General features: G+C 44.1%; 1 protein-coding gene, 1 long non-coding RNA gene and 1 pseudogene across 3 annotated transcripts in view, besides 5 other annotated features; 2 read left to right on the plus strand and 1 right to left on the minus strand.

Annotated features, from left to right (window-relative positions):
- Positions 1–16,499, minus strand: part of BASP1-AS1 (BASP1 antisense RNA 1) — an 87,395-nt gene extending 70,896 nt beyond the window's left edge. Inside the window, exon 1 of the long non-coding RNA NR_027253.1 lies at positions 15,154–16,499. This is a non-coding gene — a long non-coding RNA (BASP1 antisense RNA 1). The remainder of the gene's footprint in view (positions 1–15,153) is intronic.
- DCAF13P2 (DDB1 and CUL4 associated factor 13 pseudogene 2) lies at positions 1,299–2,222 on the plus strand (annotated as a pseudogene).
- Positions 2,554–2,633: a silencer, noted in NCBI's record as "silent region_15948". NCBI's record gives its function as "represses an Ori minimal core promoter by ATAC-STARR-seq in GM12878 lymphoblastoid cells {active_cell/tissue: GM12878}" and the evidence as "EXISTENCE:reporter gene assay evidence [ECO:0000049][PMID:35858748]".
- BASP1 (brain abundant membrane attached signal protein 1) overlaps positions 15,900–27,643 on the plus strand; it is a 60,012-nt gene continuing 48,268 nt past the window's right edge. The window contains exon 1 of one of the 2 annotated variants that reach the window (NM_001271606.2): positions 15,900–15,974. The gene's annotated coding sequence lies outside the window, so the exon portion shown is untranslated. Of the gene's footprint in view, positions 15,975–16,707; positions 16,888–27,643 lie in introns of those variants that run through there. The other variant, NM_006317.5, reaches the window with a different exon arrangement.
- Positions 16,504–16,983: a silencer, noted in NCBI's record as "silent region_15949". NCBI's record gives its function as "represses an Ori minimal core promoter by ATAC-STARR-seq in GM12878 lymphoblastoid cells {active_cell/tissue: GM12878}" and the evidence as "EXISTENCE:reporter gene assay evidence [ECO:0000049][PMID:35858748]".
- Positions 17,474–17,793: a silencer, noted in NCBI's record as "silent region_15950". NCBI's record gives its function as "represses an Ori minimal core promoter by ATAC-STARR-seq in GM12878 lymphoblastoid cells {active_cell/tissue: GM12878}" and the evidence as "EXISTENCE:reporter gene assay evidence [ECO:0000049][PMID:35858748]".
- Positions 17,828–18,608: an enhancer, noted in NCBI's record as "H3K27ac hESC enhancer chr5:17218860-17219640 (GRCh37/hg19 assembly coordinates)". NCBI's record gives its function as "activates a minimal SCP1, AML or CMV promoter by ChIP-STARR-seq in primed H9 embryonic stem cells {active_cell/tissue: H9 hESC(primed)}" and the evidence as "EXISTENCE:reporter gene assay evidence [ECO:0000049][PMID:30033119]".
- Positions 26,657–27,157: an enhancer, noted in NCBI's record as "H3K4me1 hESC enhancer chr5:17227689-17228189 (GRCh37/hg19 assembly coordinates)". NCBI's record gives its function as "activates a minimal SCP1, AML or CMV promoter by ChIP-STARR-seq in primed H9 embryonic stem cells {active_cell/tissue: H9 hESC(primed)}" and the evidence as "EXISTENCE:reporter gene assay evidence [ECO:0000049][PMID:30033119]".

Raw genomic sequence — 27,643 nt, forward strand, 5'->3', positions numbered from 1 at the left:
AGTGGATGGGGAAAGCACAGTCCTCCACCAGGGAGGGGCAACAAATGTTTTGGGTAATACAACCCCCCACAGATAGATACTGCTATTCTCCCACTCTACTGGTGAGGAAAATGAAGCAGGGTAAGGATGGCGTCCAATTCTCAAACTCTATAAAGGAAGCAATTGATTTGAACACCTAAAAGACTATATAGATTTTATCTAATTCAAATGCAAGCAAAGCAAAACAGAACAAAAATACAGTGTCAGGGACATAATCACACAGAAGCATCAGAATCAAACCCTATATATCACTTTTTTTTTTGAGTCAGAGTCTAGCTCTGTCATCCAGGCTGCAGTGCAGTGGTGCAGTCTCAGCTCACTGCAACCTCCGCCTCCTGGGTTCAAGCGATTCTCATGCCTCAGCCCCCCGAGTAGCTAGGATTATAGGCGCCCACCACCACACCCAGCTGATTTTTGTATTTTTAGTAGAGATGGGGTTTCACCATATTGGCCAGTCTGGTCTTGAACTCCTGACCTCAGGTGATCCATCCGCCTCAGCCTTCAAAAGTGCTGAGCCACTTTGGGAGCCCGGCATATAGGCGTGAGCCACCACCCCCCGGCCTATATGCCAATTTTAAAAAAAGAACAAAAATTAATTTTCACCTGAATTTTCAATATCCCAGGGTGTAGTTAGGGGAAAAAAATATTAAGAAATTCTCTATAAGGAAAAACACCAAGAGATTTCTTTTCAAAAGAGCCAATCTAAGGCTGGGTGCGGTGGCTCACGCCTGTAATCCCAGCACTTTGGGAGGCTGAGGCTGGCGGATTGGTTGAGGTCAGGAGACCTGCCTGGACAACATGGTGAAACTCTGTCTCTACCAAAAATTACAAAAGTTAGCCAGGCGTGGTGGCGCATGCCTGTAGTCTCAGCTACTCAGGAGGCTGAGGCAGGAGAGTCACTTGAACCCCGGGAGGCGGAGGTTGCAGTGAGCCGAGATCGCACCACTGCACTCCAGCCTGGCAACAGAGTGAGACCGTGTCTAAAAAAACAAAAACAAAACAAAACAAAACAAAAAACAAAAAAAGAGCAAAACAAAAACAGCCGATGGAATCTTATCTGACTTATACAAATGAAATTCAGATTCTAAAATCAAGAGTCCAGACACCTTAGGTGATCTCAGAGAAGATCCTGTTTCATATGGGGGATTCTCTAGTGTTTTACATTTCTCATGTGACTTTGAAATTTGCCAAATGTAAGAAATAGCTGAGAGGCAGTAAGTATTGTTATTTTCAGGGGAAATCATTTCTACGAGAAAATAGGAACCCGGAATGAAAAGCTCGTGGAGTTTGGCGGGAAGAACAACCAAGAGGAAGGTGAAGATGCTGAGCTGGAACCCGGATAACTATGTCTGTGAAAGCAAGTTGGATTTACAGACTTCCCAGAAACTATGATCCTACCCTACATCCTTCTGCGGTCCCACGAGAATACTTAAGAGCTTTAAATGCTGTCAAACTGGAAAGAGTATTTGCAAAACCATTCCTTTTTCCCTGAATGGTCACTGAGACGGAGTCAATTGCTTGGCAAAGCATCCAAGGAGCCTGGCTCCTGTCCTTTCTGGGCCATGTGATGGAGAGGTTAGAATCTGGAACCTGACTCAACGGAAATGTGTCCGTACAATACAAGCACATGAAGGCTTTGTACGAGGAATATGTCCTCACTTTTGTGGGACTTTTCTTATTTTTTAATTTTTTTTTTGAGACGGAGTCTCGCTCTGTCGCCCAGGCTGGAGGGCAGTGGCGCGATCTCGGCTCACTGCAAGCTCTGCCTCCCGGGTTCATGCCATTCTCCTGCCTCACCATCCCGAGTAGCTGGGACTACAGGCGCCCGCCACCACGCCCGGCTAATTTTTTGTATTTTTAGCACAGATGGGGTTTAACCGTGTTAGCCAGGAGGGTCTCGATCTTCTGAGCTCGTGATCTGCCTGCCTTCGCCTCCCAAAGTGCTGGGATTACAGGCGTGAGCCACCGCGCCCGGCTGGGAGTTCTTTTTTTTTTACTGTTGGTGATGACAGGACTGTGAAGCAGTGGGAATTGGAGGGCTCAGGCTATGGAGAAGGGGAAGTCCTTTTGCATATGGTATTAAGAAGGCGGCGGACACTGGGACTGATCATCACTGGAAAGAAGCTGTTTTTGCCACATGTGGACAGCAAGTAAACATTTGGGATGAACAAAGAACTAATCCTGGCCGGGCGCGGTGGCTCACACCTGTAATCCCAGGACTTTAGGAGGCCAAGGCGGGTGGATCACAAGGTCAAGAGATCAAGACCATCCTGGCCAACTTGGTGAAACCCCGTCTCTACTGAAAATACAAAAATTAGCTGGGCGTGGTGGCACGTGCCTGTAGTCCCAGATACTCGGGAGGCTGAGGCAGGAGAATCGCTTGAACCCAGGAGGCAGAGGTTTCAGTGAGCCGAGATTGCGCCACTTCAGTCCAGCCTGGCGGCAGAGCGAGATTCCATCTAGAAAAAAAAAAATTCACTTAAAAGTCATACTGGGCTTATTACTTATTACACAGTAGAAATTAGCCAAGTAAGCGATACTGTTTTTTTTTGAACAAGCCTGCCACCTTGTGGTTATTTGGAAAACCAGACTGGCAAAACCAGGGCTCTGCAGTGCCTTTGCTTCCACACATACTTATTGAGTGTCTAATGTCACAGTCACCACGCTCTGTTCTAGGCTCTGAGCTTACAGCAGTGAATGAAATGGACTAGGAGCCACACTATTCTGGAGTTTATGTCTCATAGCATAAGAACATGTGTATCTAAGTTAGTATTTGGAAACGTATCCCACCTTCATCAGCCTCTTAACCTAATAGCCTACCTACATGGGAGCCCCTCTTCCCTATCATTCTTCATTCTGTAGGTAGGCAAAATACCCCTGTTCCTATAAAGCCCATCCCTTTCCTGTTTCTATTCCCTGCACCCAAACACACCTTGCCTTTTCAAGGACTCAAGGACTCAAGGACTTTGCATCTGTATCTGGCTCCTCTTCCTCCAACATTCAGCTCCCTGGCCCTTGTATACCTATCAGCATATACACACGCTCTCAAAAGCCTTCATTACAAAACCTTTTCCTTAATCCAAAATTCTCTCTAGCTAATGCTGCATTTCTCTGCTTCCTGTCACAATCAATAAAACTTCTGGAAAGTTTCGTCTGTGTTCACTGTCTCCATTCCCCTCCACTCACCTTAGCCCAGGGCATCTGTTACCACCACTCCCCTGGAACCTGTCCAGCCAGCGCCACACACCACTCCCATCCCCAAAGCGCCCCTGGGTCCTCACCCCACTCTATCTCTCAGCACTGAACACAGCAGACTGCTGCCCTTGCCTCCTTCCAGCAAGCCTTTGTGGCTCTCAACTAGCGGCACCCTGTACCCACTACCATCCTCTCCTCATGATCGCAGGGCTGGCTCTCATGGCTCAGCTCTCCTCCTCCTACACACCTTCCACAAGCGTTCATTAGAAAGCGGCCCCTCCTGAGAGGAAGCACTATCTGGAGTGACCTTATTCTTTTTACCTCTTATGCCTGCAAGCCTTGCGTCTGCCCTGTTTGTTGCTGAATTCCCAGCACTCAGGAATCGTTTCCAGTGTTTAGTAGGTGACTCAAATTATGTTTAGTTTGCATATGTTTAAAATTCATGTTGCCATAGTGGCCACCCCATCCCCTCCTGGTGTAGGGGCAATCTGGTATTGCAAAAACAGAAGCAGAAAGGCGTTGAACTGACTGGAGCAGCATCTTTGGCACTGAGAAGATCCTTTAACCTCAATATGTCTTAGATTTTCAATTTATAACATGAAGAAATTGGACTACAGTGCAGATGACAATGACATATCAGCTTTGGGGTGAGATCAGATTAACTGGCAGTAGAATCTGGGGCATAGTATTACGAAATACTTTTTAGCCACAGAAAGAATGCTTTGATTGATTGATATTGATTGGTTATCAATACCTACCCCGAATGTGGGAGGGGACTTGGCTGTGTATTTTTGGACATGGTTTCTTTCAGTTCTAAATTTTAAAGAGTGTTTTAAAAAGCTTTTCAAAACATTGTTGTTTCAACTGAATTTAATTTAATTTAATTTTTTTTGAGATGGAATCTCGCTCTGTCACCCAGGCTTCAGTGCAGTGGTGCGATCTCTGCTCACTGCAACTTCTGCCCCTGGATTCCAGTGATTCTCCTGCCTCAGCCTCTCAAGTAGCTGGGACTACAGGTATGCACTACCACGCCTGGCTAATTTTTGTATTTTTAGTACAGACAGGGTATCACCATGTTGATCAGGCTGGTCTCGATCTCCTGACCTCAGGTGATCTGCCCGCCTCGGTCTCCCAAAGTGCTGAGATTACAGGCATGAGCCACTGTGCCCAGCCTCAGTTGAATTTTAGAATTGAACTAGACAAACTTTTGAAGGGTTCTCAACATGTAGTGATATAATAAAAATGAAATTCAGACTCAGAATTATTAAACTGCAGTCTTCAGGAATTAATCTAAGATAACTGAAAATACATCTGCATCTATTCATTTAGCCAGGATTCATCTGCTATCCTATATCATGAGGTAAAAGTATTATATTGTAGAATGTTAAAAAATGTCCCATTCAGAAAAATGTCGTGCACTAAACCTGGCATTTATTCTGCTTCCTATTTCATTTCCTTTTATCTCTATGCCTTTTAGTTGACTGACATTACTTGCTTTCTTCCCCCCATTTTGCTTCTCTACAAGGAGATAATTCCAGATTACATTGGCAGATATTTCAAGCTATATTTCAATTACTAGGATATTGTGAAATTCATGAGATTAAAATAAAATAAACCTCAGAAGGGAGTATAAGCCTCTCCTAATGGAAATTGGGATTAAATTCAAATGTCATCACCTTATGTCATAAATGTTTTGAGTGGATGAAAAAAACAATGAAATGTATTTAAATACATGAAAGAATGTACAGAGTTAACCTTAGTGAAAAGAAAAAATAATGATTTGAGAATGTGGAAATATTCACATGAAATTCTGTATATGACATGTTAAAAAATTAGAGAACTCTTTTTTCTCCATTTATTTGTTGCTCCCAGATAATTTCCTAAGGTAGATAAGATAATACATATTAAAGCAATTTGAGTTATTTGAAAGGAACCTTCAAACTCACATTATTATAGTTTAGGAGTGATTTTAGCAGAAGCAAATTATTAATGATACAGATCAGGAATGGGCAAACTGCTTCCCTTGTGTCAAGAGTGACCTGCTAGGTGTTATGTAAATAAAGTTTTATTGGAACATAGCCATGTCCATTTGTTGACACATTGTCTGTGGCTGCATCCTGATACAGTGGCAGTGGTGGGTAGTGTCAACAGAAATCTCATGGCTTTCAAAGCAAAATATATTCACTATTTGACCCTTTATGAAAAATTTTGCTGACTTCTGCTCTAGATTATCAGCATCTCTATCAGACTCTGTATTTCTGAAGGCATGGACTCTGTGCTTAAACTTAGTTTTCAACTGTTCTTAAAAAAATATGTTGGCCAGGTGCCGTGGCTCATGCCTGTAATCCCAGCACTTTGGGAGCCCAAGGCAGGAGGATCACCTGAGGAGTTTGAGACCAGCCTGGGCAACACAGTGAAACCCCGTCTCTACTAAAATACAAAAAATTAGCTGGGCGTGGTGGCAGACGCCTGTAATCCCAGCTACTCGGGAGGCTGAGGCAGGAGAATTGCTAGAACCCGGGAGGCAGAAGTTGCAGTGAGCCGAGATCCATCACTGCACTCCAGCCTGGGCGACAGAGCAAGACTCCGTCTGAAAAAAAAAAAAAAAAAAGTTAGGGTCGGGCGTGGTGGCAGCTCACACCTGTAATCCCAGCACTTTGGGAGGCCAAGGCGGGTGGATCACCTGAGGTCAGGAGTTTGAGACCAGCCTGGCCAACATGGTGAAACCGTGTCTCTACTAAAAATGATTCCAGTTACTTGGGAGACTGAGGCATGAGACTCGATTGAACCTAGGAGGTGGAGGTTGCAGTGAGACAAGATCGAGCAACTGCACTCCAACCTGGGCAACAGAGAGAGAGACTGCCCAAAAAAAAAAAGTCAGTACTTTTGAGATTATCAGTTAATGACAACATTAAGAAATATAATGACATGGCTGGGCCTGGTGGCTCACACCTGTAATCCCAGCACTTTGGGAAGCTGAGGTGAGTGGATCACCGGAGGTCAAGAGTTTGAGACCAGCCTGGCCAACACAGCGAAACCCCGTCTCTACTAACAATACAAAAAAATCAGCCGGGCGTGGTGGTGGGCGCCTGTAATCCCAGCTGCTCCAGAGGCTGAGGCAGGAGGGTCGCTGAAACCCAGGAGGCGGAGACTGCAGTGAGCCAAGATTGCACCACTGCACTCCAGCCTGGGCAACAGAGTGAGGCTCTGTCCCCCGCCAACCCACCAAAAGAAAAAAAAATATAGTGACAAACACAAGTTTATGCAGTGGGTGGCATTTTTTATACCAGTAGTTACATATGTCCTTTAGGCTAATTCCACTTCCCCACCCTCAGGTGGGGTCTTCAGCATCCCCATCCAAGAAGGAGCTCTGGAGGCTGAGGCAAGAGAATTGCTACAACCTGGGAGGTGGAGGTTGCAGTGAGCTGAGATCACGCCACTGCACTCCAGCCTGGGCTACAGAGCGAGACTCTGTCTCAAAAAAAAAAAAAAAAAAAAAAAAAAAAGTCAGGGTCCGGCGTGGTGGCTCATACCTGTAATCCCAGCACTTTGGGAGGCCAAGGTGGGTGGATCACCTGAGGTCAGGTGCAGGTGTCAGGTCCCTGGTCTTCCGGTTCGGATCTCCTCCCGGTGTTCCCCAGGAGCCACTTAGGGTGCCTCTGTGTGGATCCAGGGGGTTGCTGGGGAACAACTGCCCTCCTCCTGGCCCAGGTTGCCTCTTCCTTTCTCTGTGCTTCCTGCCTCTTGCGCTTCCCCCCAGCAATTTGCAGGCCCTTGAACAGGTTTTTTTAATAGGATTTTTAATTTTATTATTAATGAATTTTTAAAATTGAAAAGTAAAATTATATATATTTATGATGTATACGACATGATGTTTTGATAGATGTATACAGAAAATGTGAAATGACTACATGAAACTATTTAACATAGACATGGCCTCATATAGTGACTACAACTAGTAACAATATATTGCATACTTGAAAATTGCTAAGAGAATAGATTTTAAGTCTTCTCATCCTTCAGAAGATTTGAAATAGCTACTAACAAGACGTGGGGTGTCCATTGTTAGAGTCCCACCGTGCCCTTCCAGGCAGAAATGGTGGCCATAATGCTGTGGTTCATGCCTGTAATTCCAGCACTTTAGGAGGCTGATGGGGGTGGATCACCTGAGGTCAGGGGTTTGTGACCAGTCTGGCCAACATGGCGAAACCCTGTCTCTACTGAAAATACAAAAATTAGCCAGGCATAGTGATGCCTGTAGTCCCAGCTACTTGGGAGGCTGAGGCAGAAGAATTGCTTGAACGCAGGAGGTGGAGGTTGCAGTGAGCCAAGATCGCACCACTGCACTCCAGCCTGGGTGACAGAGAGAGAGAGAGAGAGACTCTGTCTCAAAAAAAAAAAAAAAAAAAAAAAAAAGAAAGAAAGAAAGAAAGAAAGAAAAATGGTGGCCAAATATAAACCAAGGTCTTAAACTCAGAAGCTGGAGGAGGAAGAGGAGGAGGCCCTTAAAATACAAATATTTCTTATTGTTTTTCTGCCAACACAATACTTGAAAAATCAATTTTTGTTCTTCAGTATTTGTTTAAAGTTCAACCCAAAATGTCTGGCATTTAGTGAAAGAAATCTGGGTGGAGGGGGGCAAGAACTCCCTAATATCTGTCCAAAATCCCCCAGGAGACTGGGGTCCCCAGGTTGAAAAGCTCTGCTTGAGACGCAAGAAGGGAGGCAGAATCAGAAACTGAGATGTGTATGTTTTGAAGAGACCTTCCTTCCCCAGTGGAAATCCTGACACGGACCAAGGACAAGCTTCCAGCTCCTTCCCTCCACCCTCCAGCCCATGGAGGGAGAATCTCACTGTCAACTCCAGCACAAAGTTGCCTGTCTGGACAACATTATTTTTACCTTCTTAGAAAAACACTTTGGAAGAATTATATGATGGTCTCTGCCCTTTGGAGGTTGATATATTTATTAGTTCATTTTCACACTGCTATAAAGAACTTCCCTGAGACTGGGTAATTTATAAAAAGAGGTTTAATTGACTCACAGTACTGCATGGCTGGGGAGGCCTCAGGAAACGTATTATCATGATGGAAGGGGAAGCAGGCACGTCTTCCATGGCAGCAGTGGAGAGAGAGAGAGCAAGAGAGGAACTACCAAACACTTATAAAACCATCAGATCGCATGAGAACTCACTCACTAACACAAGAACAGCATGGGGGAAACCGCCCCATGATTCAGTCACCTCCCACCATGTCCCTCCCTCAACACCTGGGGATTACAATTCAAGATGACATTTCGATGGGGACACAAAGCCAAACCGCATCAATATAATATGTGGCCTGACGAGAAAATTTATTTATCTCTAGTAAAAATATACATGAAAAAATTGACTTTAAGAAATTTAGGCTGGGCATGGTGGCTCACGCCTGTAATTCCAGCACTTTGGGAGGCGGAGGCAGGTGGATCACCTGAGGTCAGGAGTTCGAGACCAGCCTGACCAACATGGTGAAACCCCATCTCTACTAAAAATAAAAAAATTAGCCAGGTGTGGTGGTAGATGCCTATAATCCCAGCTACTTGGGAGGCTGAGGCAGGAGAATGGCGTGAACCCAGGAGATGGAGGTTGCAGTGAGCCGAGATCGCGCCACTGCACTCCAGCCTGGCGACAGAGAGAGAGACTTTGTCTCAAAAAAATAAAAAAAAGTTGTAATGGTCAGGCATGGTGGCTCAAGCCTGCAATCTCAGCACCTTGGGAGGCTGAGGCGGGGGGGTTGCTTGAAGCCAGGAGTTTGAGACCATCCTGTGCAATAAAGTGAGACCCCATTTCTACCAAAAAAAAAAAAAAAGTTTTAGGATGCCTTGGTGTTGAGGCTCTTGGTTGCACTGAATTTGTTTAATTTTATTGAAGAGCAAAAGTCATAAAAATCAGCATAGCCCTGATTCAGCAGCAATGCTGTGTCATAGAAGATCATTCAGAGATACTGAGAAGAACACAAAAAACAATGTCATATGAAAAACAGAACTTTGTATTAGTGTTATGGGCTCATCAATACAAAAAGGTTAATATATGAATGGAGAAGGTAGGGGCTAACTGTAGGCTAAAACGTTCTTTTCCTGTAAGCGCTAGTCATTTGATCAATGACCTCAACATGAATAAAGCTAGAGAGGAGTTTCCTTTGCACTAGAAGTGAACTGGAGACCTGCACCAGGGGTGGAATATCTTTCTATTTGCTCTGAGGTCAGAATGAGTGGAAATAATGCAACGAAGTCAAAGGAGAAGTGCTAGGGTTTTGGCCCCATTCTTGACTCACATGGCGTCACTCATTGTAAGATGAAGAAGCAGAAAGACGCAGAAAGCAGATGTATGGTGTTAAAAAGAGTCCAGGGGGGCCGGGCTTGGTGGCTCACGCCCGTAATCCTAGCAGTTTGAGAGGCCGAGGCAGGCGGATCACCTGAGGTCAGGAGTTTGAGACCAGCCTGGCCAATATAACGAAACCCAGTCTCTACTAAAAACACAAATATTAGCCGGGTGTGGTGGTGAGTGCCTGTAATCCCAGCTACTCAGGAGGCTGAGGCAGGAGAATTGTTTAACCAGGGAGGCGGAGGTTGCGGTGAGCCAAGATAGTGCCATTGCACTCCAGCCTGAGTTAGAGTGAGACTCCATCTCAAAACAAAACAAGACAAAACAAACAAACAAACACAAAGCCCAAAAAACAGCCCAGGGAAAGTTGATAAGAAGGCAGGGATTTCTTAGCCCTGAACAGGAATCCTGAGCAACTCCTAAAATTGTATATTCTGATTACCAAAGTAACAAATGGTCATTGCAAAAACATTTGTTCAACATAAAATGTTATAACATGGAATGAAAGCTAAGCTGTCCTCTATCCCACCTCTGAAATGACACCAGTGCCCGGCGAGATCCACTCTTAGCAGTCTGGGGTATTTTCCCATGTTTTTGTTTATAACATCAATGGGACAGTCTCTACATACTGTTCAGGAACTTGCTAGAGGCATCTAAGAAGTTGTTTTTGACAACTTCCCTTGTGTTTGATTTTGATAAAACTAATACCTTAATTACCATGAAATTGCTTTTCTTTTTCTGTCCAAGTTTTTCCAGGAACACTGAGGCTTCAAGACGGTGACCATGATTTCCTTGTCGCGTCAAGTACCTTGCTACATCATGTGTTCATCTACCACATTTTCATACATGCCCTTCCGTTTCCCTTAAAACTACTGACACAGTAGTTGGGTCTTGCTTGTTTGTTCAAACCCGGCTCTCTTATTTCTTATCACTTACTTTCTTCCTGTGGAAAGAAATCATTCTGACACTGAGTTGAACTTATCTGAGTAGGAGATTCCTAGGCTTGAAATGCAAGAGGGTTATGGTATCTGTTTGGGAGTCTTAGGGAGTTTATCAAAAAGCAGAGTTAGGTAGACACTGGAATTTGGTCCGTATTTGCACTTTAGAGAAGTAGGCAAAGCAGCATCCCTTAATGTATTTACTTATAGTAAAAATGTGCATCCTTTGCATTCTGGTTAGCAATTTGCTTTTGCACTTACCAATTTATTTCGGGCACCATTCCTTGCACTGAAGTTAAAGTAGAAATATTCTAATTATGGTAAGGGCTGATCTGAGAGTAGAAGCAGGTGGTGCTGAGGAGTGGACGCAGCACACACTATTTAACACTAGGACCTCTACAGTCTCCATTATTCAAAGGTGGAGCCATGTGATTAATTGTTCTACAACATTCTTTGTGCCATTTTAAGGTAACTTGTTCTCTGACTGGTTTAACGGGTGACAATGGGGGAAGGGTAGCCAAGGAATCGAGGACTGTTTTCCCAAGACTGAGCTTGCTATGCCATAATCCCCTCCCTGGTGTCTGTAGGAACAGGTAGGCACTGCATGGAAAAAGCCCTCGCTGCTTAGGAGGCTATCACCTTTTTACCATTGGTTTGTTACAGGAAAGGGTCCCAATCCAGACCCCAAGGGAGGATTCTTGGATCTCATGCAAGAAAGAATTCAGGGTGAGTCCATATAGTACATTGAAAGCAAGTTTATTAAGAAAGTAAAGAAATAAAGATGAGTACTCCGTAGGCAGAGCAGCGGCATGGGCTACTTGGCTGAGGATACTTATAGTTATTTTTTGATCATATTTTTAAAACAAGAGGTGGATTATTCATGACTTTTCTGGGAAAAATGTGGGCAAGTCCCAGAACTGAGGGTTTTTCCCCTTTTTTGACCATATAGGGTAACTTCCTGATGTTGCCATGGCATTTGTAAACGGTCATGGCACTGGTGGGAGCAATGAGGACAATCAGAGGTCACTTTCGTTGTCATCTTGGTTTTGGTGGGCTTTGGCCAGCTTCTATACCACAACCTGTTTTATCAGCAAGGTCTCCAAGACCTTGCTGTATCTTATCCTGTGACTTGGAATGCTTAATCTCCTGGGAACGCAGCCCAGTAGGTCTCAGCCTTACTTTGCCCAGCCCCTATTCAAGATGGAGTTGCAAGGGTTTAAATGCCTCTGACAATTTTATGTATTTTCTTAATAGAAAATGCTGGGCCGGGCGCGGTGGCTCACGCCTGTAATCCCAGCACTTTGGGAGGCCGAGGCGGGCGGATCACGAGGTCAGGAGGTCGAGACCATCCTGGCTAACACGGTGAAACCCCATCTCTACTTAAAAAAAAAAAAAATTAGCTGGGTATGGTAGCATGCGCCTGTAGTCCCAGCTACTTGGGAGGCTGAGGCATGAGAATCTCTTGAACCTGGGAGGTTGCAGTGAGCCAAGATCGCACCACTGCACTCCAGCCTCGGCAACAGAGTGAGACTCTGTGTCCAAAAAAAAAAAAAAAAAAAAAAAAAGAAAATGCTGGTGACTAGAAATGTACTTTGGGACTGAAAGGATAGGTGGCAGAATTACAGTCTATGAAAGGGAGAACGGGGTTGGGAATGAGAGCTATTCAGGTAGACAGGCTTGTTTTTATCTGCCTCTCATCTTGGGCAAATGTTCCTAATGTAGCACCAAGGCCAGGCTGTCCCCTCCATTTCAACTCCGATGCTTCGTAGTAAACAAATGTTTGCTCAGGTTTCCCAGCTCTCCTTTTACAGTACATGAAGAGGAAATTAAATAGGGAAGCAAGGTTAAGTCATTTTCTTCCAGTTACTTGGTGTGCAGTAACAGGGAATGCAATTCAAAATCATTGCTTTTAATCTTTGACATACCTCTTGAAACTATTGCCTCAATTTGTGTTATAGTGGAGAATGGTGGTTAATGAAGGGCTTAGCGCACATTGTGCATTGCAGGCCCTTGTTAAAATTTCTCCATTAAATTTTGTGCCTCCAAGCCTTTTGCCCTGCTGAAGATACCTTAAGCCACAGGAAGAGGCAGCTTCCCTCTGCAGCATGCGCTCTTAGAAAAAAAAAAAAAAAAAAGATCAGGTATTTTCCAACTGGGCAGCAACTTGATGCTCATTTAAACCTGGGTTTCTCAACCTTGCCATTATTGACATTTTGGCCCAGAATGACTCTCGTGGGGTTGGGTAGGGTTGGGGTAGGAAGGAAGACAGACGAATATATAGATTTCAATATTTTCCTTTGGTTAAAAAATTATAAATATATTTAAGAGAAAAAAAGCCGTACACTTTCATCTGTAATACTGTCTGGCCTTTTGCTTGCAATTTGCAGATAAGATTTTGTAAACAAATTGCAGCAAGTTGGTCCTCCACGGAAAACTTACCAGTAGAGCTGAATTTACTTTCAAATTCTCTAAATGGGTTTCTGAGGGTTTGGGTTAATGCAGTGGCCTTGAACAGGAACTATCCAGAAAGATGTCAAGCAAAGGTGGCTAGAGTCACACTCGGGTGACACTACTGTCACCATGCTTCTGCTTCATTCTTGTTCTACATCTTTTATTTGAGATTTTAATCCTCTTTTTACTATTTAAGAGGAAAGGATGGGGAACTGAGAAAGACGCTAGGCCTTGGTGGGTGATGTGGGAGGTGGGGAGAGGGAAGATAAGAGTGAGGTTTTGAGGCTTGATGAGGTCTGTATAATTATCTATTGTAGGTGTCTTAGTTGACACAATAGATATGATTTGAAAAGCTGAAGGCACATGGAAATTTTTGTAAACTGACTAGTAATTTAAATGACAATGAGACCATTATATTGCAAGCAAAGACAAATCTTTTAGAAAAAAATTAGTAATCACGAATAATTTATCTTTTGGATAATGATTTTCATAATGCAGGTTATGCTTCCCTGGAGCAAGTTATGCAGGCAATTAAAAATGACAATGGAATTCAGTTTATAACCGATGAAATCCAGCTTTGTTTGTCAAAAACAAATGCATTCATTCCATTTGGAGAGTAAAACAGTCTTTTTTTCATGAGCATAATGGTGAAAGCTAATTAAATTTATCATAAATTACACCCTTAATATTTGTTCTCAAGATCATTAGTCTATAATGTAAACAGACACATTCACAATAGTTAATGTTAACAGTTTTCTAAAATTCAGAACTTTAAAGGTTTATTCATTTATTCCCTAAGCATCAGTTTAAAAAAATGTTTTAAAGAGCATACACATTAAAAAGTATGATATTAGATGAACAACTAAAAATTAGACTAAAAACATCGCCAAATTGGATTTTATATAGTAATATTGTTACATTGAGAGGTAACATTTTGGCAACCATTTGCTGCAAACCTACAAATTCTGTAAAAGCTTCTAAAGATTAATAGCACTATCAGTCAGTTGCATCATTATCTCATTGAAAATGAATTCTCACCCTCCTTTAAAAAAATTTAAAAAAATGTTTTAAGAGAACAACTAAATCTGATGGAAGACAAAATTAAGGAGACCTGCAGTTCTCCTTGTTGGTGTAAGCTTTTGCCTCCGGTTTCTATGGTAACCCGTGATCTGTATTCCAATCACACCTTTGAAAGGTTTGTTTTCTCCATCATGAAAATTTAGCTGGAAGCACTGAAGGTACTGAACATTAATTTTTATGTTGTCTTTTTTTTTTGGAAAAATTGGAAAAAGAGAATAGAGAAGGAAGATAACACCCACAGGCTTAGACTGCAAATACAATGAGGAAATGTATTTGCTAATTTTTAGATGATTTACATGCCTGGAAGATCACAAGGATAAAAACCCTGAATGCTAAATGAACAAGTAGGCAGCTCCTCTAACAAACTCAGGAAATGTCTTGAGCAGAACATTGCAAATATTCATCTAATTCGATAGGGTAAAAACCTAGAGACTTGCTCATAGAGGTTGAAAGAAAATGTAGCTCAGTGGTTTTCAGCCTGGAGTGATTTTGCCTCCCAGGAGACATTTGGCGATATCTGGGGACATTTTTGGTTGTCACAACTGGTGCTGGTGCTGGTGGTGTGTGTGGAGGGTGGTACTGGCTGCTAGTAGAGGCCAGCAATGAATGCCAGACATCCTACAGTGCATAGGACAGCCTTCCACAACAAAGAAATATCTGGCCCCAAAAGGAGGTGGGAAAACCTGCATCCTCCATTTAGCTTTATAGATGGTGTACTGGTGTGAGGGAAATAAATATTCAAAAGAATAAAATGCTTTAGAAGCAACCTCATTTGTAATTTGCTTCCCTGGTATTTTACTACACTAACTTTTTATTTCACTTTAAATGGCAGAAAGAGAAACAGGAAAAAACAAACAGTTCCCGCTTTTTTCTTACCTTTGGTTTAAATTTGAACATTTCCAGCTGGCATGCATTAATCTAATTTGGTGCTGCCTCCTATGACCTGTAAATGTGTACAGTAGGGTCGTCAAGTGTTTCCACTGCAAAATCGCTAGTGCAGTTGAGTAAATATTGCCACTTTGCTTAATTCAAATATGTACGTTAAAGTTACGATAAGTTAATTTTCCTGTTAAGTGAAAATGCACTTACCTTTACCCAGTTGAATACAGATGTACTTGCCTTTGACGTCTGCCTCCCTAAGTATGGTTACAGTTTGTCACTCCGGTTCTGGAGGGCCACCCTGTCCCTGAATTCACGCCCAGGTCCTGAGGGCAGAACCATCCTGAGGACAACCTGCAGCTCCATCGATTTTTTCTTGGCTGGGACGCAGGCGAGCATGAAAGCGATCCAAACACAGCCAGAGGGCGCCAAAATGCCGCAAATAAAAGTTCCAAAGGCGTCAACTGGCTTTTGCGGGAAGGTAAAATTGGCTTTTGTGTAATCAAAGAGCTACCGTTGTCAACGATGTCACGTTACGTTATTTTTGTATGTCCCTCTTGCCAACAGGTAAGCAAAGTGAACGCATCTTCCTACCCCGGTGGCTATTCTGTGTCCCGGTGCTAAACCAAGTGTCCGCCCCCTTAGGGCACCCGGACAAGCCGCGGTTGGCCCTAGCTTTGACTCGAGCGCTCGCAAGCAGCAGCGTGCGGGCTGCCTCGGCCAACCCCGTCTTCTCAATATTGGTGGCCTCCATTAAAGCACAGACATCAAAAACATCGACGGCCCCTTTCCCCTCTTCTCTTCCCTCCTTCCTCTCCCAAGTTCCGAGAGCATCCTCCGAGGGGCGACGTCTCTCGCCCCACCAGCTGGACCTCGGCGACCGCGCCTCCCCCGAAGCTGCAGCCTTCGGGGCTGAGCCCCGCGGGTGCGGGTGCAGGTGCGGAGCCGCCCAAGGTGCGCAACTCGTTTGCAGCGGCGCAGCCCAGACGCGCCTGCAGCTGGGGCTCACCCCAACCTCGCTGCCAGCCGAGGTAGCGGAATCGTAGTCGACGTCGGGAGCGGGCTGGACTGGGGTCTGAGAAGGGTAGCTGGTGCCAGGGGGTGTCATTCATCACCTCGAGGCAGCTCCCTAAGTCTGAGCGAGAGCCCGAGCACTTCTTATCCAACGGTTCCAAATAAATGAGGGGGAGAGAGAGAGAGAGAGTGAGAGAGAGAGAGAGAGAGAGAGAGTGAGTGAGAGAGTGAGAGAGTGGGAGAAGTCCACGGACAGCCCAGGCGGCGCGGCGGGGGAAGGGGGACGCAGGAATGGAGGAGAGGAGAGGGGAGGCGGAGGGGGGATCTGAATAGAGGGCATTTAGGAAACGTTGGCGGGGCACAGAGTTGGGAGGTGGGGGGAAGGGAGGAACCAGGATGGCGGATAGGAGAGAAATGGGGGTGACTGTGCTGGAGGGGAGGGGAGGTGGGGGCCCAGAGCTGGGGGGAGTCAAGGGGAGGCGGGCGTGTCCAGGCTGGAGGGGAGAGGGGAGGGTCTGCGCCGGAGGAGGGGAGGGGAGCAGAGGGAGTGCAGGGGGTGGGGAGATGGAGCTGGAGGGGGTGGAGGGGAGACGGGCGGGGCGCCGGGCTGGAGGGAGGGGAGAGAGGCGGGCGGGGAGCGCGGGAGGAGGGAGGCTGGGCGGGCGGACGCGCGGGGGGAGGGCACTGGGCAGGAAGGGGAGGGGGAGCGAGCGCGAGAAATGCAGAGGCTGCAGCGGCGGCGGCGGCGGCAGTAGCGGCAGCGGCGACGACGGCGGCGGCAGCGCTCCAACTGGCTCCTCGCTCCGGGCTCCGCCGTCGAGCCGGGAGAGAGCCTCCGCCAGCGGCCAGGCACCAGCCAGACGACGCCAGCGACCCCGGCCTCTCGGCGGCACCGCGCTAACTCAGGGGCTGCATAGGCACCCAGAGCCGGTAAGGAGGCGCGCCCGGTGGCCCCGCGCCGCCGCGGACCCGGGGGCCTCCGTCCCCCACCGCGCCGCGCCCCGCCCCGCAGCCCCCGGGCTCTCCCTTCATGCAGCGGGCAGCAGGGATGTGGGCCCGGATTGGACGGCAAGGGCCTGGGGTCCCTCTGTGAGGGCTCCGTCGCACTTCGGGGATCCCGGGTGATGGGGGGCCCAGAAGTGGGAGGCTTCAGCCGCTCGCATGGTGGAGGGGTGAGGGGGGCGGCGAGGTTGGTAAACGGAGCTGGGGGGAGGGGGCTGTCGGGGAGAGGAGCTGCGGGTGACGGGAGGAATTGCCGAATGCGAAACCCCCTCAGTGCGTTGAGTCCCGGGGAGACGGTTCTGTGGGCTGAAGGGAGCGCTTCCGTCATCGGAGCCCTTACCAGCCTGGGAGAAAGCGCTCGGGGCGAGGGGCGCAGCAGCCAAAGATGGAGGGTGGGGGTGGGGTGGGGCGGGAGTCCGGGGAGAAAGAAGATGGGGAATCTGGCCCGATCAGAAGGAAGTGGGTGGCTTTTTGCTTTGGCAAACGGGTTTTCTCGACCCATGGGACTCCTGGATCTTGGTTCTGGGGCCAAGGAATACGAGGTTCACACGGCGACGTGCACTCAGAAGCACCTCCCGAGCAGATCGGAGCCCCAGCCTCGTCAGTGGCGGAATTGCCTTCCTACGAACCCGTGGGCTGCCTCGGAGCAGTTTGTTTTTTCGAGCCTTTGGTTCCAAGAATGCGCCAGGCGCCTCCGCCCTGGGTCCCGGCCCCGGCCCGGGCCCGGGGGGTGTGGGCTTGAACCTGACAGCGCGCGGCCCTAACTGGGCTCAGCCCCGCTGGGAGCGTAGGGTTGGGGTTGAGCAGCTTTTGCCCAAAGCGCTAAAGCTGAAACCCGGCGCCCGGTTCCTGCTCCCCCCGCCCCCGTCCCCCCTCCATTTCCAGAAAAATAAAAATTGCGGAATCCTGGATCCGATCGCACGCACAATGCGCGGCTGCAAACCGCATTCTTTTCATGAATATTCATCGAACGCTTGGCCAGGCTCCTTATCTGCGTCCCCAGAGACATTTCCGCCTTGAAACGAACTCGGTGGACAGCCCTTGCCCATGTAATTCTCACTCTGCTGAAATTAGCACAGCACACATGGGTGCATTTTTTAGGACCTTGTACAGGTTGACAACACCTCTGTCTCCCCCGCGGCCACTCGCACTGTGGGGCGGGCTAAAACCCAACACTAGCGTCGAAATGGCCTTCTGCTATAGGGTTGTGGACCGACCCCCCACCCCCACCTCCCGGGATTACAGCCCGGGCCAACAGACCCCCAGTATACTGCAGGCAAAATGAATGAATCGGGACTGTAATTACCTATTCCTTTGTCTTGGCCTCGCGCATGCGCCGGAGAGCAGGGTGTGGAGGGCCCGGCAGCCCCATCCCATCTCCATCATCCAGCCACCCACTCCCCTCCCGAGCCGAGGAACAAAGGCGTTTGCCCTAAATGTTGCGGGAAACCCTTGGACACCAATGACAGTTTTTCCCGCCTGTGTGTGTGTTTCTTCTTTTCCAGGCTGTCTCTCATCTTTTGCTTTCTTGCTGATTTCAATTGACCAAAATTAAGATTTGCCTTGATGAGGATGAAGGCAAATTGTGGATTAAATATTTTGTACCCGCACACTGTTATTTTCCTTTCTAGTACTGTTCATTGTTCTTTTTCCTGTAACATATCTTACTGCAGTGAGGGTGGCTTTCTTAATTTGCATCAATTAACCGTTTGACAGATCTTTTTTGGTCATTTGATTAAGGGAAGGTGGCCTCAAAACTGTCAGTGGGCGTTGCCTCCAGTGACACCACCTGGGGAAAATTAAGACATCTTGGCGTTTATTCGAACAAGATGGCCTACAAAAACCGGAGAGAAGAAAACGATTACCTTGTCGGGATCCTAACCCTTTCTGTTTTCTCTGGACTCCGAACTCATTGTTTCATTAAGGATTCCAAAAGGCGAATGGCGTCCAGATGGAAATCTGATGGGGGCAGAAAGAAGGCAGTCGTTGGGGTGAAGCTGGTTGATTAGGTTCGCAATGATTCCTTTTTCCCCATTACCTAACAGAAGCCATGATATACCTTTGATGGCTGATTTTCTTTCAGATGATCTATTTTCCAGGTTATGGCCATTTAGATTTATTTTCAGGTAGTTTGTTTTTACCACACAAAAAGGGACTTATTGTGTATATTAAATAGGAGCCAAATATGATATTTTTTGCAGTGGTAGGTTATGTTTAATAGGGTTTTATGCTTAAGTACTGTCAGTACATCCTGGTGGAATAACGCGTGGCAGCAATGGAAATCATCTCTTTTGTCCTTTTTGATGAGAACTTGATATTGACCACGTTTAATATATCAGGGCCCATCTACTGGCTACGGTGGCTGTCTAGCTGTCTTCTAGGTGGCATGGATTGTACCCTCTGTACTCCTTAGTATTGAGTAGGTTATTATGATTTAGAGAGCTACGTTCTTTCTTTTTTCTTTTCCTTTAGGTTGTGTTTTTGGCGAGGGGTATGTTGGAATATAGAACAAATTCAATAGCAAATATATACCAGCATGTCCCCAATTCAGTAAATCTTAGGTTTTTGAGTGAGATAATATTTAAATCGATTTTTAAAAATTATTACAGAATTAAAATATTTCTATCAGTTCGCTTATTCTTTTAGCCAGCTAGCTTTTTGCCAAGCTTTAGCAGATAGAGAAATTGAGCCTTTTGATAAAAAGCACCAACAATGACAGTGGCATTTCTGTTCTTTAACTGGTACTCAGTCTGCCATTGTGACGTGTAGAAGAGAACCTTATCTCCCCACATCACCCTAGTTTAAAGGTCCAATGGGAGAGCCCTAAACATTTAGGCTGTCTATCCTTGGAGGCCTCTTCATAATCCTGGATTTACTAGGATCCATAATCCTCCTGGATCTTATGGTGCAAGAGGTGATGCGTTCTGTCTCTTTATTTTTTAATTTCACAATTAAGAACAGTTTGAAGCCATTTTCATTTCATGGTCAAGCGGAGTATGACATCAGAGAGAAACTTTCATTTGGAGGAGATTTGATCACTCTAAAATGGATGTCTGTGTTATTTACGGTAGTTTTGTAAAAATTGCAAAATCCACACCCATTTTTAAAAACAAGGTGTCATGTATATACACATGTACACATACACATACTTGTTTATACACACTCTAAAATCTTATGAATAACTTGAAATCAAACTGGTTGGTATAGAATATTATTTTATAGTGCTTTGATACTGGTCTTTGGAACATAATCAATTTCTGTCTTTCTAAATATGTGTTTGAAAGGGAAAGCCTAGCAAGTCTATTAATAAGCTCACTTCCCATTTATCCCAGTGTACCTGGAGCATTAAGCTAAGACGTTCATCCACAGGCTTAAAAACTTACATCAAGCACTACTGAACTTTACAAGCTGGAATAAACAATGCCTACTAAATAAAAGATTTATAAAATTGTTCTGTCTTATTTTTGTGATCTCTTGTAAATGTTTTTTTTTTTTTTTTTTTTAAATATCCAAAGAAGACCTGTGAACTATTATTTGTCAGAAGCAATTGCCCTTGGTATCTGATTCTGTTGAAAGAAATGCGTTGATTTGTCCAGACCTTTATCTTAATGTAGTTTGTACCTACTTATTTCACATCTTCTTTCTCTTCTTAATGATGGTCTTAGCTGGTACCCTGGAAACCAGGTAACTGCTGGGGAAAAACACTGAGTAGATATATAGACAACTTGAATATTCTCTGAAAATGGGCATGGAATCTTTATTGTTATATCAAATTTTCTCTAATTATATCTAATCCTTTAAATTTATTGTATCTCTTAAGACATTAGATAAGCCAGTGAACATGAGCTTTTTTCTTTGGCTTAATTATAGTGGACAACTATTAGGAAGGAACTGTGAGGTTGCAAATAGAATATTTTGAAAGATAAAGTACTCTTTATGTGTTTTGGGGTAATGTTTTTGGAGTGGTTTCTCAGGAAATCGTATAAAGACTGGATTTGAAGAATCTAATAATTCCTATTTTGGGGTTGTAATAAGAACTACATATGATATCTAAAAATGACTTAAGTGTGGAATGGCTGGCTCTGAAGGGCTCCTCAACCTCTCAGTCTCAATTAGTGATATCAATTACACTGAAAGTGTTTTCAACAACTGAAAGTGTCAATCAACACTTTCAGTGTAATTGACATCACTAACTAATTTCAGTATATTCAGCTGTATTTTTGTTCCAGCTTGATTAATGAAGCCCGGGGGACCCCAGGAGTATTAAGTTAGAAGTAGGATGTCTCAATCCTAAAGGGGACCAAATATCATGGTTCCTATTTTCTGTCCTTGTGTTTGTAGATATTTGAAATTCTGTATTATATGGGAATTAGCCTGAAAGTGGATTTCATGATATCAAGATGGCCACCTTCCTTGAATTCCCCAGGTCTGCTTATACTTATACTTATGTAACTTAAGAAGTGGCATTTAAGTTCTCTTGAGAAAATACAAGGGTAGTCTTGAAACCACAGCAGTGCCCAGCCTGCCAAAGGAAGGCTTTTGTGAAACGCCTTTCCAGCCACAGCCTTTGAGGCAGACGTCTAGGTAAGTGTCACATGAGAACAGATGTCTGGTAAATGCTCTCAAGAGTAAAAATCAACCATACAGAGTCCATTTCTCACCAGAATATAGTTCAATTGTAATTTTGAGGAGCCACAAGCCTAAGAAGGAAGCAGTGTGATTAAAACAGCATTCTCCTTTTCCCTCTAGAAGTCAGAAATGGGATGAAATGGGAGGCAGAGAGAATGAAATAGTGTGTTTTTCTTCTGCACCCTAAGGATTTAAATAACATAAAAAATTATTTCTTAATGTTTTACAGACTTTCCATACTCAGTACATTTTTGAACAAAAATAGGGAAAGCTGAGATTTTTTGACTCAACAAGGCCGTCAGTGCTGAGAGGTGGTGATTGAGCAGGCTTGGAAGTCTAGGAATACATTCCTGAAAGCTTTAGAGATTTAGAAATAGAAACCATCTGCAAGCACCACAGGGGCCCAGGGCATAAGGAAACACTTCAGGATAATATAGGAAAATGGTGTGCAGTGGAGAAAGCAAAGCATTTACACAATATTTTCCCCTTATCACTTAAGCATTTTATAAACTCTTTTTTTTTTTGGTTCGTTTTGAAGGAGGCAGGACTGGACTTCATTGGTTTGTGTTTTGAACTTCTGTTTGAAGTAGATATTTCAGCAATTTGTACATTGTGTAGGGAGTATAATATTTAGAAAGCATGATTTGGAGGGTTAGGCATGGTGGGGATGGACTTTGGAGCCACAGCACCAGGTTCGAATCTTCTCTCAGCCATTTACTGGTTGTATGATCTTTGGTAAATTGCTTACCTTCTCTGTGCCTCAATTTTATTTAGAAAATGGGAATTGTGATACATGGTTACTGTAAGTATTAAACAAAATTGTCATGCACTTAGGACAATGCCTCCTTATATTCAGTGCATCTTTTTAAAGGAGTGTGAATATCAGTTTTCTTTACTGCATCCTTCATCTATAGCTACTCATATGTTTGTTTCAAAGAGACCATTATTGCAAGACAGGCCAATGGTGGTGCCTTGCTCAGTAGGTAGAATATAGAAGTCTGCGGTTTAGAAAACTCCTCCAGGTGTGGTTAAGAATACGCTAAATACGTCAGTAGTTCATGTGGACTAAGTTTCAAAAGTGGGTAGGTTAATACAACCCAGCCTCCATACTGAATTTGTACTTTTTTTAATTGAAGGAAAAAAATGAAAGTCCTTGGAACTTCAGAGACAGGATTACTGCTTTGATATGTTGAGACCTGGACTCACCCTGATTAGCTGTATGACCTTGGGTGTAGATGTAACTCATTCAGATTCCTGAAAATCCTTAGCTTTGTTGTGTCTTGAATCAGATGTATCATTAGCATTTGAAAGAAGTCTAAGTCATTAGTACTAAGGTTGATAAGCCAACTTAGGTATTTTACATTCCATATTATTCCCACTACCTCCACCCTGCCCCTGCCAAACAGGCATCAGATGCCCACCGCCTCCATACCTGGAGTAAAACTGAAAGTTGTATTATGTAGGAATGTAAAGATGTTGTGATCTATTGACAAATCTTTGGAAGGAATTATCCCCGTGGGGACCTTAGAAATCAGGAACTCTGAACAACAAAACAAAAAAGTCTTTGGAATTTCAGCTATTTGGGGTGGATCAATTCTGGAACTGGTCTTAACATTTCAGACATTTACTTCAGGGATATGCCCAAGGATTTGCTTTTGTCCTTCTGGACACTTTGTTGTTGAGCAAAGGTGAATTCACTCTCATTTTGGGTAAATTGTTGTTTAACAGCTTCCTTAAACAGGTTTTTGTATCTTACGGATTCTGGAGGGAAGTCATATATTTTACTCTATCTGTCAGGTGTTCACTGTAAGGAAGGGGATTTTAGATATAGTGGTTATGTCTTTTAAAAAGTTTCCTAGGATTTCAATCCGTGTAGATGGAGCTACACTGTACTTCTCCTAAGCCTTGGCCATTTTATCTTAGGTAATATGGACTCTTCAGGGGGGGAAAAAAGGGGAAGGGGGGCTCTTGAATAAAATGGGTAGCCTTTTCACATATTGACATCTTCAGTATTAATTTAGAGAGAGCGATACTAACTTCTTCAATGAAAAATTATTTATGGAAGAGATCCAGTGTATACTTCTAATATTTCATCAGTATTACGTTAAATTGCTTGTAGATTAGAGGTGCTTCTTGTCATAGTGAATGGAGACTAATACCTTAAGTCATTCCTTTCTAGTATGATGATTGTGGTTGCTCTTACTGAGGACTATAAATGTGGATTTGGTTGATACTTTCACGTTTCTCCTTGGACATTGCAGATGGAAGTCATAACCCCAAATGTCTTACTTATCTGCAATTTTGCTCTGAGATATGGACCAGGCTCTAGCAGACCGTCTGCCACTGTGTAGTTAGTGTTGCCTGATTAGAAATAAACCAAGTCCTGCCTAAATTGGTCAATCTGTTTTGTTCCGCGTCCACGCAGGATCCACTTACAGAAAGCCAGTGGCTGCTTTTAACCACTATCGAAACCTCAGTCCTTTGTAAGTACTTTCCTTGGAGCAGAAGGTTTAAAAGCTCATGACTAAACACTCATTTTGGAACTCAAAATAATCTTAGAGAAGTTAGTGGGTTGCTCAGAGTCCCACGAGCTGCTTATGGGCTGCGTGGAAACCCAGGTTATTTCCCCATAAAGCCTCACTCCTGCTGCCCCTCTCTTCTGAGAGAGAAGCAGAGAATGTCTAATTGAGTCACTCTTACTCACTGTCTGCAACGTAAAACTTTTTTTTCTACCATTTTTTTTTGTACCCTAGAACCATTAAAAAAAAAACCAGTCTGGATCCTATATCCGTCTCATGATCTCCCCCAGAGGAGACCTCTTCGGCCTTTTAATACACCACACATGCCCCAGGGGGACGGTGCAGTCACTACCTGCTGCCACTTCATCCACAGGCCATCTTCCCCTCAACTTACTCCTTTCTGCTTCTTACATTATGTGCACGTGGTTTCCTTTATATGCCAAAAAGTATATGGCATGCACTGAAATAACTTTCTTCATAAAACTAAACTTTAGTTTTTCTAAAATTTAAGTTAAATCCTTGTTTTTCTCCCAAAATGCACAGTGGTTGGGGGCTGGGAAGCTGGCGATGGTGGGTATGTGTTTGAAAAGAACGCCAGCTGGCTTTAGACTTATTTGGGGGCTATAGAGCAAGCGGAGCAGTCAGGCATCCCACCCACCCCTGAAATGCTCGGGGCCCTCTTGGCAGATCCAGTGTGCACGTTGTCGTGGCAGGTGGTGGATGGAGAGCTTTTATGCCGATTTCTAGCGTTATCTGGCTTATTGGTTTGAGAGCTGCATACAACGGGATGTTTAATCTTTTTTATTTAAAATTACCATTTATAGTATTTGGGGTGATTTAGAGGATTTAAAAAATCTGTTAGATTCTGAAGTAGTCCTTAAAATATGGAACATAAGTGCTTAAGATGCTAAAACACTTTCTAAAGCATACTATTGGGATGTTTGAAACTGATGTTGGTAAATGTAAACTGTGTGCATTTGTGTTTGGATAATCTGTGATAAGTTTAGTTTTTGATGAGACACAATTTTAATTTCACATTTAAAATGACATATTGAGGTCAATAAGAGCAGGTTTGAATTTACATTTTCCAGAGAAACCCACAATTAATAGGTAACTTTTATTTTCATAATGCTTTTAATTATTACACTTACGTAGATTCAGAAATGGATATATTCCTAAAATAAACCAAAATTAAAACTTCTTTGTCTTTTTAAAGAAAAGCTGTGGTTCTATTAGAGAAAAATACTTCTTTTTTAAGTTTATGAAGAAATAGCTGTTAGATAAAAACTTTTCCTGGTTGAGCTTTCTAAATTACAAATTTCCTGAATTGCATGGCAAAGTGACTTTGAAAAGACCCACTTCATTTTTCCTTTGACAGTCTATTCAAAACACCATTACCACGTAGACTAATACAATAACCAAGGTAAATAGTAACAAGATCTAATGGGGGAAATAGTGTATCAAAAGGGGGAAAACAGTATCCACTGACAGAGAGAACTAGCTGTTTCTTAAAGAGACAGAGAAGAAAGGTTTCCTCGGAGTTATTGGGTCTTCATAGGATGGTCTCCTGTCCTTCTCTGAGCTTGCCTTGGAAACTGTAGAGGCTGTAGGAATATTTGCTGTCTTTAACCCTTACTAATGTTCTCAGCTATTTCATTAGAGGATCACAGTGTCTGTATTTGCCTTAGGTGTAAGATGATTGGAGAAAAGGAAAATGTAGAGAAATCAGATTGACTTTAGATGGACAGGCAGAGAGTTCTGGAGTGACTTCCCACTCCTTAATTCTGCAATGCACCCAGAAGGCAGGGTGAGGTTAGATGATCACCTGGGTATTTACTATAGCCATTATTACTGTGATTAGATAAAGTGTCCTGGAATCTTCTCTGAATAACTCATTTTTCTTTTTTTTTTTTTTCTTTTTTTCGTTTTGCTCTGTCGCCCAGGCTGGAGTGCAGTGGCGCAATCTCAGCTCACTGCAACCTCAGCCTCCTGGGTTCAAGCGATTCTCCTGCCTCAGCCTCCCGAGTAGCTGGGATTACTGGCACCCGCCACCATGCCCAGCTAATTTTTTCGTATTTTTAGTAGAGACAAGGTTTCACCATGTTGGTCAGGCTGGTCTTGAACTCCTGACTTCGTGATCCACCTGTCTTGGCCTCCCAAAGTGCTAGGATTACAGGTGTGAGCCACCGCACCCGTCCTTTTTTCTTTTTAGACAGTCTCACTCTGTCGCCCAGGCTGGAGTGCAGTGGCGCAATTTCTGCTCACCACAACCTCTGCCTCCTGGGTTCAAGCAATTCTCGTGCCTCAGCCTCCCTAGTAGCTGGGACTACAGGTGTACGCCACCAAGCTTGACTAATTTTTATATATATATATATATACAATATTTTTTTTGACAGAGTCTCGCCGTGTCGCCCAGGCTGGAGTGCAGTGGCACGATCTCGGCTCACTGCAACCTCCGCCTCCCAGGTTCAAGCAATTCTTTTGCCCCAGCCTCCAAAGTAGCTGGGCCTACAGGTGCCGCCACTATGCCCGGCTAATTTTTTTGTATTTTTTAGTAGAGATGGGGTTTCACTATATTGGCCAGGCTGGTCACAAACTCCTAACCTCAAGTGATCTGCTCTCCTTGGCCTCCCAAAGTGCTGGGATTACAGGCGTGAGCCACCATGCCCGGCCAATAACTCATTTTTCTAAGGAAGAAAGAATCTCGATTAACAATTGGTGATGACAGTGCCTCCAAAGGCTTCTCATAATCACCCAACCTCAGGTAAACAGGGTGAATGCCACCCTATTGACAGGAGGTTTATTGTGGCACTGGGTTTTGCTCAGTAGCCCTGGTGATCTGTTGTTGAGAACCCAAGCTCATATTTCCCAAGGCTCACCCAACTGGACTTTAGAAACCTGGTTCCAGAATTTTCAAATGTTTGGTTTTCAGGCAGATAGTAACAAGTGTTTGTACCAATGTTCTCCAGAAGGTTGTTAAGACAAGATTGATAATGCTTCCCAGGTATGTGTTTCTTTTTCTGACTCACAGCTGCATGTTACTAGTTTTCCTCATCTGACCCGATGATTGACTGATGGAAAGTCTCATTGAAGGTTTGGTTATCCTTTCATTGGTAGAAGAGACAAAAACAGGACATAAGTGGCTTATTCCATTCACCTCTACTTTTCTATTGTAACTGGATTTATTTCTGCCATCCAGACAGAGAGCCTGGGCTTTGATTTCATCTGTACCAAAGTTTTCTGGGTGGACAGGTACAGGGGGTCATCGTAAGAGAACTCAACTGACCACAATGCAGAGAGAGGTAACTATCCAATGGAATGGTAACATGGTTCCACTACGGTAAGAACTGTAGTGTTAAATGAAATGAATTCTTAATGGGAAAGGAGTCCTATGAATATTTCTAAGTTGTTATGTTTAACTTAACTAACTCTTAAATGCAGGGAATTTAACTTAAAAGTGAATTTAACAAAGAAGTGAATTTAAAAGCCAACAAGCTTCATATCTCTCCACCTCACCCCAAACCCGTGTTAATTAG

The sequence above is a fragment of the Homo sapiens genome, chromosome 5 (genome assembly GCF_000001405.40).
Source record: "Homo sapiens chromosome 5, GRCh38.p14 Primary Assembly".
Classification (NCBI taxonomy): domain Eukaryota; kingdom Metazoa; phylum Chordata; class Mammalia; order Primates; family Hominidae; genus Homo; species Homo sapiens.